The sequence below is a fragment of the Homo sapiens genome, chromosome 6 (genome assembly GCF_000001405.40).
Source record: "Homo sapiens chromosome 6, GRCh38.p14 Primary Assembly".
Taxonomy (NCBI): domain Eukaryota; kingdom Metazoa; phylum Chordata; class Mammalia; order Primates; family Hominidae; genus Homo; species Homo sapiens.
The window spans coordinates 90,570,985-90,584,939 of NC_000006.12; the positions used below are offsets into that span (position 1 = coordinate 90,570,985).

Genomic DNA, 13,955 nt, shown 5'->3' on the forward strand with positions numbered 1-13,955 from the left:
TTTCCATGTTATACATTAAAAATATGAAGTATATTTTGAAATTATGATTAAATGAAAAAACAGAGATATAAATTCAGAAGGCTTATAAGGTACAGGCCACTTATCCATTGGCCAATGAGGTTTAATAGTGATAAAAACATTGATTTAACTAAATAATGTGATCCAAAATACAAAATAACAAAGTTAGTAAAGGATAAATTTGATAATATGCTAATTTCATGATTATTGGATTTTCTTTCATCATTCAATCTAATCTATTTCTAAAAGAATAGGTGCAAATTTTCATGCTAAATGAGAAAAATCAAATTTGAAATAATTTTTCTTTAAAATAATCTGAGTTTCTAAAAACATTCCATTTAAAGTAAGTGTATAAAATTTCTTAATTTTAGATAATGGGAAAGCATACCATTTCTTTTCTATTTTAAAATTAAAATATTACGCCTTGAAATAGATCTGAATTCCATGGATGAAACTGTTTTAATTCAGGGGTGAATTCATTTATGTAGTTAAGTCGCTTTTCCCCTAATTTTTAATCAGAATTAAGAGTATGAACGAGAAAATGTTCCTATGGCAGTACCTTTGATTAAACCGAATTGCTGATGTTCATGTATACAAAGAAATGACATCTGAGAAACCAATCTTTTTCATAATATTAAATTCACAGAGTATCTTAAGTGCAGAACTACACAAAAGAAATGAAATCTCAACTTACCTCTACAATAAACGCTTTCCTCTCAGATTCACTTTCTATTTGTTTAATAGCAACATCTTTTGCTCTCCACTTAGCTTTGCAAACAACTCCAAAGGCTCCTCTTCCAACAACCTGAGTTAAACAAACAAACAAAAAACAAACAAAAAACACCACAAGAATCGGAATCAAATAGATCAGCCCAATATAAAAAACTAAAGTCAATCTTTAAGACTTTAAATTAAAAAAAAAAAAAACATGGAAATCAACAGTATCTGGATTTGCCACTGAACAAGTATGAATTTTTGTTAAAGTGAGAAGATAATTAAATGCATGCTTGTCTCTATCTTTGAAAGTTTATGATCTGTACACCCTTTCATTCTCAAGTAAAACCAAAAAAGACACATGGAGGAACAAAGTAAAGTGATTTGTTAAATGGAGAAAAAAAAACTAAAACAGACAAGATGAATGAGAAGACAGAAGATGATATGGAAAAACAAAAAGCAGGAACATATAATAAATATTTTCAGCTATCATATTTAAGAAATTAAAAATAGCCTTTGAATAATTCAACAGGGATAGGGAATGGAGGAGAAACGATATAAATATAGATGTTAAAAGACCGGCTATGAAGGACAGACAAAATATAGTATTATTTATTCCATGGAATTTTATTCCGCAAGAAAAACTATTGATATATGTTACTTACGATATGAACTCCAAAAACATTATGCTAAGTCAAAGAAGTCAGACACCAGAGACCACATATTGTATGATTCCATTTATACAAAATGTTCAGAAAAGGCAAATCTATAGATAGATACCTGGGTCCGAGGGTGAAAATTAGAATTAACAGTAAATGAGTAGCTGGTATCCTGACAAAGTGATGAAATTATTAAAAAAAAAAAACCAAAAACCTAATTTATGGTGGTGGCTGACAACCTGGTAAATTTGCAAAACCCACCAAATTGTACACTTCAAATGGGTGAATTTTATGATGTGTAAAATAGATCTCATTACAGTTATTTTTCAAAAGTCATAAAAATAAAGATCAGACATGTATCATACTATTGTTGAAGCCAACTGATGAATACTGCATGGGTTCATTGCTCTCTCATGGAGTCCTATTTTTACAAATATTTGACATTTTTCATAATATAAAAAAAGAAAACAAAAATAGCTTTTGATACTTGTTAGAATAAAATCATTAGATTTTATCATTGTGAAAGGACCTTAGTTAAGCACCACCTACTCCAATCTCTCAGCTTCCAATGAACCTAAGCACTTTGTATCAAGGCCTTTTTCTTTAGCAAAAAATCTGCATCTCTTAACCATATTTATATGTACTTTCTATGCAGCAGGCACTTAACTAATGCTTTATATACATTACCTCATTTACACAGGCCTAGAGGAAGGTACTAATGCTGTCCTCATTTTACAGTTGAAGTGCCTAGCTTTAAAGAAGTAAAACTTGCCCAAGGCTATATAGCTAGCAAGTGTTAAAGTGCAGTCTGATGCCAGGTAGTCTAACACGGGAATGTTACCAGTCCTAATTTGTAACATATATAAAGCCCCATGTCGGGAAGTAGAAGTTAGTATCTTCCCTTGGAGGAACTTTTACTTTAGACTTACATGAACAAATTCCTGGCACAAAACTCTTCTATAACAAAGTTGACTATAACTAGGTTGATCAAATGAGTTATTATCTAACTGAGGGCACTTTGGAGATCAAAAAAAGGGCATTAATAATAATAATATTAGGACACTAGTTGTAAACTGCGATGTGTATGACCACTCTAGCCATAGCTTAAATTCCACTTCATGTATCAATAAGGCAGAATGAACATTTACCATGTTGTTCAATGTCTAAAGCTACTCAAATGGTTAACATTTATTGAATGTTTACTATGTGCCAGGTACTATTCTATGTGCTTCTCATACATTAACACATTTAATCCTCTTCCATTTAAAAGGGAGGCAAATGGAGTCACATGGTTGTAACTTGCCCAAGATTGGATGGTCAGAAAATATTCAGAGAAGCCAGAATTTGAAGCCTAGAGCACCTAATGATGAACATACTCTATATTCAGCTTCTGTTCATCAGTGGCTTAAAGGAAATGGGGCTGCCTCTAGGCAAAATTTCAAAGTAGGCCAACTTCTCTGGTAGCTAGTCTTTGTTTTGTTGACTTCCCATTTCACTCGTCCTAGCCCTGGGCACTCAGTGTTCTGTGGTTTAGGTTCTTGTTCTCCTTCACAATTCTCATCAGACATTTGTACTTGCCATTCAGTTACTTTATTGTGAATAGAGGGTACTGGCTACCTGGTACCATTAGAATAAATGAAAGAGCACACCCAGGCTCTGAAATCCAACAGACTTGAGTTTGAATGTAGGGCTCTGTCTACCTATTATCTCTTAATGGTGGACAAGTTTGAGTTTCTGTTTTCTCAGCAGTAAAATAGAAGTGCTGACATTTTCCTTCATGAATATCTACAGGATTCGTAAGTTAAAACCAGGTATTTCCTCAAATACTACAAAGAACAGTAAGTGCTTGGAATTGGGTATGAATCAGTGTAAAGGGCTGTAGTACTCATTTCTTTTCTTTCTTTTTTCTTTTGGGTAGAGATGGGATCCCACTATGTTGCCCAGGTTGGTCCTGAATCCCTGAACTCAAGTAATCGCCCTGCCTCAGCCTCCCAAAGTGCTGGGATTACAGGTGTGAGCCACTGCACCTGACCTGTAGTACTCACTTCTCTTGCAATTAACTAAGATGAATAGCAAGCAGGTCCTAAAAAAATTTCAACTTTGTGGCAACATTAGTTTAAGAACACAGGCATGGAGACCAGACTTTACCTATTGATATTACTATTAAATACGAAATGATTATGAAGTAATTTATTCTTCAACCATGTATTTATAAATACATCACAGCAACTGGTACTTACTAGGAATCCCCTTCTTTCATTTCTTCCATTTTGAGGAACGTCCATGCAGGGATTCCAAACATTATCTATATTTGTGAATCACATGTTTGTCATAAAAATTCATTTGACTATTTGTAATTCACAAGTGCCACCTAGTGATGAGAGTAGAGCTGATTCTGAGCTTTCAACTTAAAGCCATGGGAACAAAATGTGGTCAAATGAGGACATGAAAAACTTTCTCCTTTTTGCTCAAGAAAGCAATTTTCTAGAACACCCTGAAATACAAAACAGGCACATTCCTGTAAGATGAGCCCATGGGCTTAAGAAGCCTCCATTCTTATTAGGGCCACGAGATATTTCACATGCACAGTGAAATGACAGGATCTAAAGTTATAATAAAGAAAGGTGAAGATGTCCAAGGTTGTACTGACCTGAAATACAGGATAGAAATAATAACTGCTGTGAATTCAAAGGAGTGAGATTATAAGCACAGTCAATACTTAAAGAATTAAGTTTGTGTGTATCAAAAATGACTTCCCATTTTTAAAAATAGCATAAAGGTAGATACACTGGGGATGAGAAGAAAAAATATATATAAAGAATGGACCCCTGCCTTCATGGAATGAAAGTGCGGTAGAGAAGAAATTTAAGACTAAATAATAGTACTTAAAAACTTTTAAACACTTACCAGCTGAAGAGAGCCAAAGGTAAGGGCTAATGATGAAGGCTAATAAACTCCTCCCTCCCCCTTTTCAGGATAGGGTTAGGGTAGGGATTCAACAGCAAAAAAGACTCATACCCTTCTCTTCTCACTTAGATCCCTAAGAGCAGGCATCCTCACAGCATGTGCTCTGCAAACACCAGAAGCTTCAAAGGAGTAAGGATTGTGGCAAGGAAGACAGACCAAGGGAGGCCCTAACCCGGGTTCCCTCAGCCCCAGTAGAACACGTAAGGGATAAAGAAAAGCTCTTGTGAAGCAAAAAGCAAGCTAACTGAGAAGTAAGGAGTCTTCTGATTGCAGGAAGGAGGCTGCGGTAGGGCAGAGTGTTGGGACCTACATTAGAGGTCTGTGGGATGGTAGCTAGCTCAAATACTTAATGAAGAACACAGCTGGGTTTCAGAGGATTAATGAAAGCCAAGGGGAAGGCCTGGTCAGCAAGCAGGGAGAACTGGGTTAGGTCTTCTGCCTTCAAAGGATGCAAGTGAGGCTTGATGTTGAAAGAATAATGAACTTCGTTTGTTTACTCCTTAAACCAATATTTCTTTAGTGTGTACTACATCCAGCTACTGTTTGGGACATCAGAAATACAGAAAGAAATAAGACAAAGGCTCTGATCTACACAAATGTACTTTCTAGCGTATGTGAAGGGAGGGGAGGAGAAAAGAAAATCGATATACAAACAAAAGATGAGTAAGAAAAAAATCAGACTTTAAAAAAATGCCACATAGAACAACGACAACAACAAAAAATAGGATGCTATGACCAAGAGACTAGTGGCAGCTCCAGGCTGGGCAGTTTGAAAAGGCCATATAAAGAGGTTACGAATCTGACATTTGGATGACACAAGGCACCAATCCCAGCACTTTGGGAGGCTGAGGCAGGCGGATCACGAGGTCAGGAGATTGAGACCATCCTGGCTAACACGGTGAAACCCCATCTCTACTAAAAATACAAAAAATTAACGGGGCGTGGTGGCAGGCACCTGTAATCCCAGCTACTGGGGAGGCTGAGGCAGGAGAATGGCGTGAACCTGAGAGGCCGAGGTTGCAGTGAGCCGAGATCGCGCCACTGAACTCCAGCCTGGGCAACAGAGCTAGACTCTGTCACACACACACACACACACACACACACACACACACACACACACACACACACAGAAGAAACAACTAATATAAAGCTTTGCCCTAAGGGAAAAGAAAAACCTCACTACCTTATTTACTCCAATATGTGAGCCCAATCTAAGGGCTATGCGCTATTTTAGGCACTGATGATACAAGAGTGAACAAACCAAATCAAAATCCTTGTTCTCATTGTTTATATTCTTGTGGAAAAAGACAAATAAAAAGGAAGGGAGTTGTGTGCTAAGAAGAAAAGGAGTATAATTGTGTGTGTATACACACATGTATGCACTCTGCCTCACTCCAATTTTAGACAAGGTAATCACTCAAGGCCTCACTGAGAAAGGTGACATTTTAGTGATGATTTAGAGAAATACTTGGGAGTGTTTGGTGTGGCTGGTGTATAGTGGAGGAAGGGAAGAGTGATTGTAAGGTAAGGCTGGAGGGACAGGCAGAGGTTGGATCCTGAACGGCTCTACCTACCATAAAAAGGAGTTTGAATTTCAGTCTAAGTGCAATGTGAAGGAACTGAAAAAATTCAAGGAAGTAAGGATGGTATGTGACATTAAACAAAATCATTATAGCTCTTAAAGAAAGGATTGTAGGGAAGCTAGGATATGTAAATAGAGACCCATTAGGAAGCCATTACAGCAGTCCAAACAAGCAACAATAGCTACGAGGGCAAGGTCAATGGTAGTGCAGAAACTGGGCAGATCTGGGAAATGTTTTAGAAGTAGAGTCAATAGGGTTTGCTGATGCTCTGCATCCAGGCAGGACAGGTGTAGAGGAAAAGAGCTGAATCAAGGAAAACACCTAGACTGGACAACAGTTTACTGAGGGATAAGAATGATGCAGATTTTTTTTTAATAACTCAGAGTTTGGTTTTAGTCATATGAAGTTTAAGATGCCTACTGGATATCCAAGAGGAGATATCAAGTAAGAAGGTAGAAACGTGAGTGAGAGGATCTATGGAGAAGTCAGACAAAGAGATACAAACTTGGGAGTCATTAGCATGTAGTCAGTTTTTCTAGTCAATCAGTTGGAAGAGGTAACCAAAAATAATATGGAGATAGTGGAGTAGAGGAACTGAGCTTTGAAGCAGTTCAACATTTAGATCACAAGAGAGGAGAAGGAATGGGCAAGGAACAGGAAGGAACAGTCAATATGGTAGCAGGCAAACTAGGAGAGAGTCAGAGAAGCCAAAAGAAAAAGACGTTCCAGAAGGAAAGCAGATATAAGGACAGTGAAAGCATATGCCAGTGGCTCTAAAAGTGTGGTCTCCGGTTCAGCAGTATCAACATCACCTGGATATTTATTAGAAATATAAATTCTCAGGGTGCAACCCAGAATTATAGAGTCTGACGGTAAGGCCAAGCAATCCATGTTTTACCAAGCCCTCCAGGTAGTTTCAATGTTTGAAAATCACTGCATTCAAGGCTAATCCATTAACAACAGATAATAAGGCAAGATATTTCAGTGGAAGCCATCACACAGACCAGAGAGCTCTCCCTTGCTGTTTATATTATTTGTGGAAGCTTTCCACAGCACCCATATGTCATCTTGGGCAGGAGAAAGGGAAAAGGAAAATCCTTATGGGGGAAGACTGAATTTTGAAATAACCGAATTAATCTTGAAATTTCTGAGTACAAAGATACATAAAAGAGGTAAGTATTACATGGAAATTATCCTTGTTGTGGCAAGATTAAATGCTTTTCTCTACTGAGTTGAAAAGAGGAATGACTCATAATTAAACAGTAGTTTATAGAAAAATAGTTACATTTCTTAACTTTTAAAAACAAGTAAGAAATACCGGCAGGAGGACAGGAGTTTGTTTTGTTTTGTTTTGTTTGTTTTTTTGAGACAGGGTCTCACTCTGTTGCCCATGCTGGAGTGCAGTGGCGCGATCTCAGCTCACTGCAGCCTCTGCCTCTCTGGCTGAAGTGATTCTCCTGCCTCAGCCACCCCAAAGTAGCTGGGATTACAGGCTTGTGCCACCACACCCAGCTAATTTTTGTATTTTTAGTAGAGTCGGGGTTTTGCCATCTTGTCCAGGCTGGTCTTGAACTCCTGAGCTCAGGCGATCTGCCTGGGTTGGCCTTCCAAAGTGCTGGGATTACAGGCGTGAACCACTGCACCTGGCCAGAGACAGGAGTTTTGTGCTTTAAACAAAAAAGAGTATAAGCATATATCCATAAGAGTAGAAGATAGAATAATCAGATGATATATACAATGGATAAAGTTGTTTCCTGGTATATTTTGCTCTCCTTCCCCCCATTCTGATATTAGCTCTCTAAGGGAGAAGTCTGAATGGGAATTAGAGGTGGCAGAAGGTGCTACGTAGCATAAAAAAAGCTTCCCAGGGCATTCCAATATACTTCTCATTCCTTTCTTCAAGAAATAACATTTTAAAGAAATGCAATTTTATTATCTGTATAACGATAATGCAACCTTATATTTAACAATATATTACAACTTGTAAAGCTCTTTCTTACAAATATGATGGAGTTTGAGTGTCACCATAAACCCATGAATATATAGGATTTTTTATTCCTACCTTAGAGAGAAGAAAACCAAGGCTCCAAGAACTGAAGTTACCTATTCAAGGATCATGTAATTAGTAAATCAGAGTCAGCTTTCAGGTATGTTTCATGGTGCCAACAAAACAGAGGCCTGCCAGGATTTGGTCCAGTGCCTGGTACAGAGAAAAATGCTACTCAAAGGCAGCAAGTATGATAACTAACAACAATTAACTTTTCAAAAGATTATATTCGAATCAGATTTTAGCTGTTTAGAAGGGGGTTTTAAAAAGCCCTAATCTCCTTTAAGAAAAGAGTGAAGTTGGGTTAATAGAAGGCTTGTGTATAAAGGGCTTATGGCAGTCTCCAAAGATGGCTGTCAACAATCCCTTCTCTGCCTGTCTCTGCTTAAGAGTTCTATTTTAGCCTCCTTCACTGATTCTTCCTTCCTCTGTCCAAACCTTAGATGTTGCTACTTTCCAGGGTTCTGTCCTTGGCCCTTTTGTTTCTGAATCTGTTCTCTAATCTCATGGATTCATACTCTCAAATCTCTCCCATCCAGGTTTTTTGCCCAAGCTCAAGATATATTTAAAACTGCCTTTGAGACTAAGGGGTCCTACAGGCTTATTAAGTTCAATATGTCAAATACTGACTCCATTATCAGTCCCTCACTTGTGTATATTGTAGTTTACTTGACCTTAGTTAAGTAGATTTACAGATATTATCTCATTTTAATTAAGTCAATTCTCACATTTTAGAAAGGTTTTATTTAGAAAGTACTTATTGCAACTTGAGCCATGATCAAATGATAGTATGAAACCTTTCATCTCCCATTGTTTAAAAATACCGACTTCATACATACACACTGAAAACTGAGTATACAAAATAGAAAGTGTTTTGTTTTACCAGTGGGAGACAGACAAACAAAAAATTGTGGACACCACCGCTCCAACAGGAAACGCTGGTTAAGAAAGTTCATTACTGTCTGCACTCCACCTCTCAGGCTATGTAAAACAGCACTCCACTGACTGGGGAAAATCTTACATGTGTATAGATTTTTAAAAAATATATCACATATTTCTAAGAAAATGTTTCAAATGCAAATATCTTGGTAACAAATTTCCTTATTGTATTAATCAAGAACATAAAATCGTGGAGAAGATCAGATGTAGAATAATAGTATGTCTGGACTGCAAAGGCCAAGCCTAAAAACACATAAGGAGATTATGTACATTATTAGATAAGGAATGAGCCAATGTTACAAACTACAGAAAGCAAATTTGATATTTTTCTTGACATATGGTAGATCAACAGAAAAAAAGTGGCATAGATGGCCACTCTTGAGACATACTGGCAACTGAGGTAAACAATGAAAAAACTTAATATTCAAGTTGTAAACCACTGAAAGAAGGCCACTTTTTATTTACTACCAAATTTCTAGTCCAAGTTCACAAATCAAACGTGCTTTCTGAACCGTATTCTTTTCTGAATAATACAGTTTATTTGACACACTGTAATTAACAATTAGGTTTTTTGTTTTTTAAAATTTTTTATAGAGACAGGGTCTCACTATGTTGCCCAGACTCGTCTCAAACTCCTGGCCTCATACAATCTCCCACCTTGGCCTCCCAAAGTGTTGGGATTACAGGTGTGAGCCACCGTACCTAGCCCAACATTATTTTAAATGACTGTTTTTTCCCCAAAGATGAATTTTCATCAAGAGTAAAAAAGAGAACATATCAAGTTACAAGTATTTCCCCATCACACACATCCAACTAAAATGGTGACATACAAATAAATATTTCAGATATTCTTCATAATCCTTCATTTGTAAAAAACAGAGGAATGCAAAAAGGACTTTGGTTTTAAAAGGGAGGTCAATTTGGAAATATTTCCTTCTAAATTTATGAATGTTTTCTAAATCAAAATGTTTTTGATTAATTACTTTATGATAAGCATTTCTCCCCCTATGGTTGAAACCTCTTTGTTTTGGGTCTACAACTTTAGTCTCATACAATTAAGTAGATTTAAATTTAATTTCTTAATAAAAAATACAGAAGAATATGAGATGGTATATAGAACATTTCCATGCAACTACTATTGAAAGGCACAAAAACAAAAATCAGGTTTTGTGTGTTTGTGTGTTATTTTTAAAGAAATTCCTTTAAAAATTAATTTCTTTATGATGTAAGATGACTCCATTCCTTCAGACAAGTCATGTTAAAGAAAACAACCAAACACACACCTAACCTAAATGGAAAAGGATGTATGCCTTTGTGCTCTTAATTTATTATTAAATAATTCTTTTAATTGTTCTGAATTCATGTTATTTTTAGTTCAGTGACTACAGCTGTCAGTTTCATTTGGCCCTGTTCTATGAACTATCTGAATGGACCCCTGGTGATGCTGGCATTGTTCTGGCTGGAAATGCGGAACAAGACAGAACAAGCATAGATCATACATTTATTAGTTAGGACTTGGAGCCTCCAACTATGTTAGAACTTCAATATCTATTAATAAACTGTGGCAGAGTGGAACTGCCATCTGCTGACAAGATGGATTTGATAACATAAAAGTAAAGCTTTGATTATTCAAACTTTCTTCTGAATGTTTCATGCAGTCTTTTAATACCTGCCACAGTACATCTCACCCATTTTCTAGGCTTTTATTTCAAATAATATGCTCATGCTATCTTTTAAGCTACACGTGTACAATGCAAAAATTATCTCTGTAGCTACCTCTTAACTATAGTAATTCCAGATTTCTACTGAAATCAGTGGTCACTTTCACATGAAAGAATGTATTGATTATTTTAGGTATCCATAATTAAATAGTGACTAACAAATCTATGTACTCAGTTTGTTTAGACCACTATAAATTAGGTTTTTCTCTAATACCAATTCCCCATATATTTATAACTTAAACCTACAAAGTACATATAACTGTTTAAGTTCTATCTATATCTCCTCTTTGTAGCATATTTTAGCTTTTAAAACAAAACTTTTGTGTGTCTCCTTAACAAAGCTGAAGAATATATACAAATGCTGCAGTAATTTTATGTGTCCAATACTATAGCTTTGTTCCTACACTATAGTTGAGGTCAGCATTATGGGTCTCCCTTTTCAAAAGCAACCATTGTAAATAGTGTCTTTTTAGCACTCTGTAGTAAAGACCTACCATACGTGGCTTACTCATAGCATCTGGCCCTTTACAGCATTTTTTATCCCTGCTAAACAAAAGTATCTGCTAACTATAATAGAGTCGACATTAAAACAAGACTCGGATCTCATTTCTAACGTGTTGCCTTAGCCAAATCGCATAACTCAGCTCCTATTTTATCACATGTAATATAAGAGAACAAGATGGGCATTTAATTCTTATGATTATGCTGTGATACTTTCATGTACTCATTGAACAAATATGTATAGAGAACCTTCTAGGTTCTAGGCATTGGGGTTACAAAAGTGAATAAAGCGCCTTACATTTTGCTGAAGGAGAGACACAATTTCAGTTACTGGTAAGTACCATGAAAGATAATAGAAATGACAAAAGATCTAGGTTGTTCAGGGAATGCTTCTCTAAGGAAGTGTTAATAACATTTGAGGTGGGACTTGACTGGTGAGGAGTCAGTCATCTTAAGTTATGGGGGAACAGCGCTTTAGGCAGAGGAACAACTACAAAGAAAATTCATCTTAGTGACTTTCCCAACCCACGATGGTCACTTTATTCAAAACCTAGTTTTAAACTTGTCCCTACTCAATGGAACCTTCTGTGATTAACTCTATTTTCAAATTATGGCTTAAGTGTTTAATTTACACTATATTCAGTTTTAAATTTGTGGTCTATAGTTAACTGTTCTGTGTTTACTCCAGTCTGATATCATACTAAGTCAGACATTTTAAGGAGGTAATCCTAGGATTCTTCTATCATCTTTTTTTTTTTTTTTTTTTTGAGACAGAGTCTCCCTCTGTTGTCCAGGCTAGGGTGCGGTGGCATGATCTCAGCTCACTGCAACCTCTGCCTCCTGGGTTCAAACGATTCTCATGCCTCAGCCACTCAAGTAGCTGGGATTACAGGCCTGTGCCACCACACCCAGCTAATTTTTGTACTTTCAGTAGTGACGGGGTTTCTCCGTGTTGGCCAGGGTGGTCTTGAACTCCTGGCTTCAAGTGATCTGCCCGCACTGGCCCTCCAAAGTGCTCGGATTACAGGTGTGAGCCACCGCACCAAGCCCTATTTATCTTTTATAGTACCTCAGAGTATTACGCACAGATGAGAATGTTCATTAAATGCTCAGGACCAACTACACTAAAAAGGAAATCAGTATTTTGTTTCCCCTTTCCCATATTAGGTTTGGTTATAGAGTACTTCAGAAAGTACTGAGTGACACTGTAAATCCAGTGGAAAGGGCAACTGACTCACAAGTGAGAAGTCTCATATTCAATTCCCAGCTTTACCATTTACTTAGGCATGCGGCTTCTGGCAAGTCAAACTCTATGACTGCTTGTCAATATCTGTACAATGGGATATCATTTGCCCTGTCAACCCAGGATTAGTTGGTCACCAACTGAATTCTATAGGAGACCATGATCAGTCTTTAAAGAACTGCTAAGCTTACTATAGAAAACAGTTAAATACTGGAAAACATGAATGTGTTTTCATTTTAGAACTGGAAAAGACCTTAAATGATCTTGTTCAGTCAGTTTACATGAGTAACCACAGGCCCAGAAAAATGTGGTGACTTCCTCAAAGTTACAAAAATATATTATGGCAGAATCAGTACAGCATCTAAATTTTCTTTTTCAGTCCAGAACACTTTCCACTATACTACCCTGTGTAACACTTCTTGCAACCCATCCCCTCTTTTATTCCAACATTCTCTACAGCCAGTTCTAGATGGTAAACACTAAATGATGTTTAAAAAGTACCTAGGCAGATTTCTGAGGCTGAGACCTTACCTAATTTGACTGAATTGAATTGAATCTAAGATGTGCCAAACTAATACTACTGAGTTACAATATTAGAAATGCAAGATCAGCTAATGTCTTAGAAATATGTATCTACTAAATGGCTGCATATTTGGCCTGTAGTTGAATTATTATTTTTTTTACAGTTTCTAATTATATTGATATAATACAATTCAATTACATTGAGAAATACATGATTTTCTTAATTTAGAAGGTAATATTCTCATACAATATAAAATATTGGAAGCAACATAAAATAGTTTTTGTTTCTGGTCATCTTCCTCTGTTTATCTTACAATTGAACTGGAAGTGTAATCTAAGTTGACAAATAGCTAATAAGTGTTCATGGTTCACCCTGGATTGTGTAACACTGGTTTAATGTATGCAAATGAAGAAGATGATGGAAATTATGTAATGCTTTCAATATCAGAAAGGTCCAAATTCAATCTTTAATGCAAAAATGAACTAAGTATTAAACATGAAAGGGAATAAAACAAACAAAAAACCCAAATGACTGCCTGATATTAGAAACAAATTTTCATCTAAAAACAAAAACCTACTCCCAGAAATTTCCTAAACACACACACACCCACATACACACAAAGATTGAAACATTATCTAAACTGAGAGAAGGGTCTTGGAAACACAGAAACCTAACCAGAAGCGAAATAGCTTTAGGGGAAGAACATCAAAATGATAACTACCTCCTTAGTAATTTGTTTTTCCCTGAATCAAGAATGTAAAAAGCTTTAGAAAGTAGCATTCAAAAACTAAGGTTGTAAGAACCAAATGAAGTAAGTTTGTGAAAGCATTTAGTAGACCATAAAGCACAAGTTATTATTATATAACAATTTGTAGTCTACAAGCATAGCAATTCACCACAGAGCAGACGTAAACGCTTATTTAAAAACTGCAATTCTTGTATACTGACTCACTGAATTTTTATTCTTAAAAAAGAATATTAGCCATGAAAGCTGCATCAACTATCCACTTCTGGAAAAGGAATTTATCATAGCCTCAATG

The 13,955-nt window shown here is 36.3% G+C and overlaps 1 protein-coding gene across 4 annotated transcripts in view; it reads right to left on the minus strand.

Annotated features, from left to right (window-relative positions):
- The window catches only part of MAP3K7 (mitogen-activated protein kinase kinase kinase 7), a 73,494-nt gene that overhangs the window by 57,406 nt on the left and 2,133 nt on the right, over nucleotides 1–13,955 (minus strand). For all 4 annotated transcript variants that reach the window (NM_145333.3, NM_003188.4, NM_145332.3 and 1 more), the window contains exon 2: nucleotides 713–823. In NM_145333.3, coding sequence (NP_663306.1) covers nucleotides 713–823 — 111 coding nt within the window. The remainder of the gene's footprint in view (nucleotides 1–712; nucleotides 824–13,955) is intronic.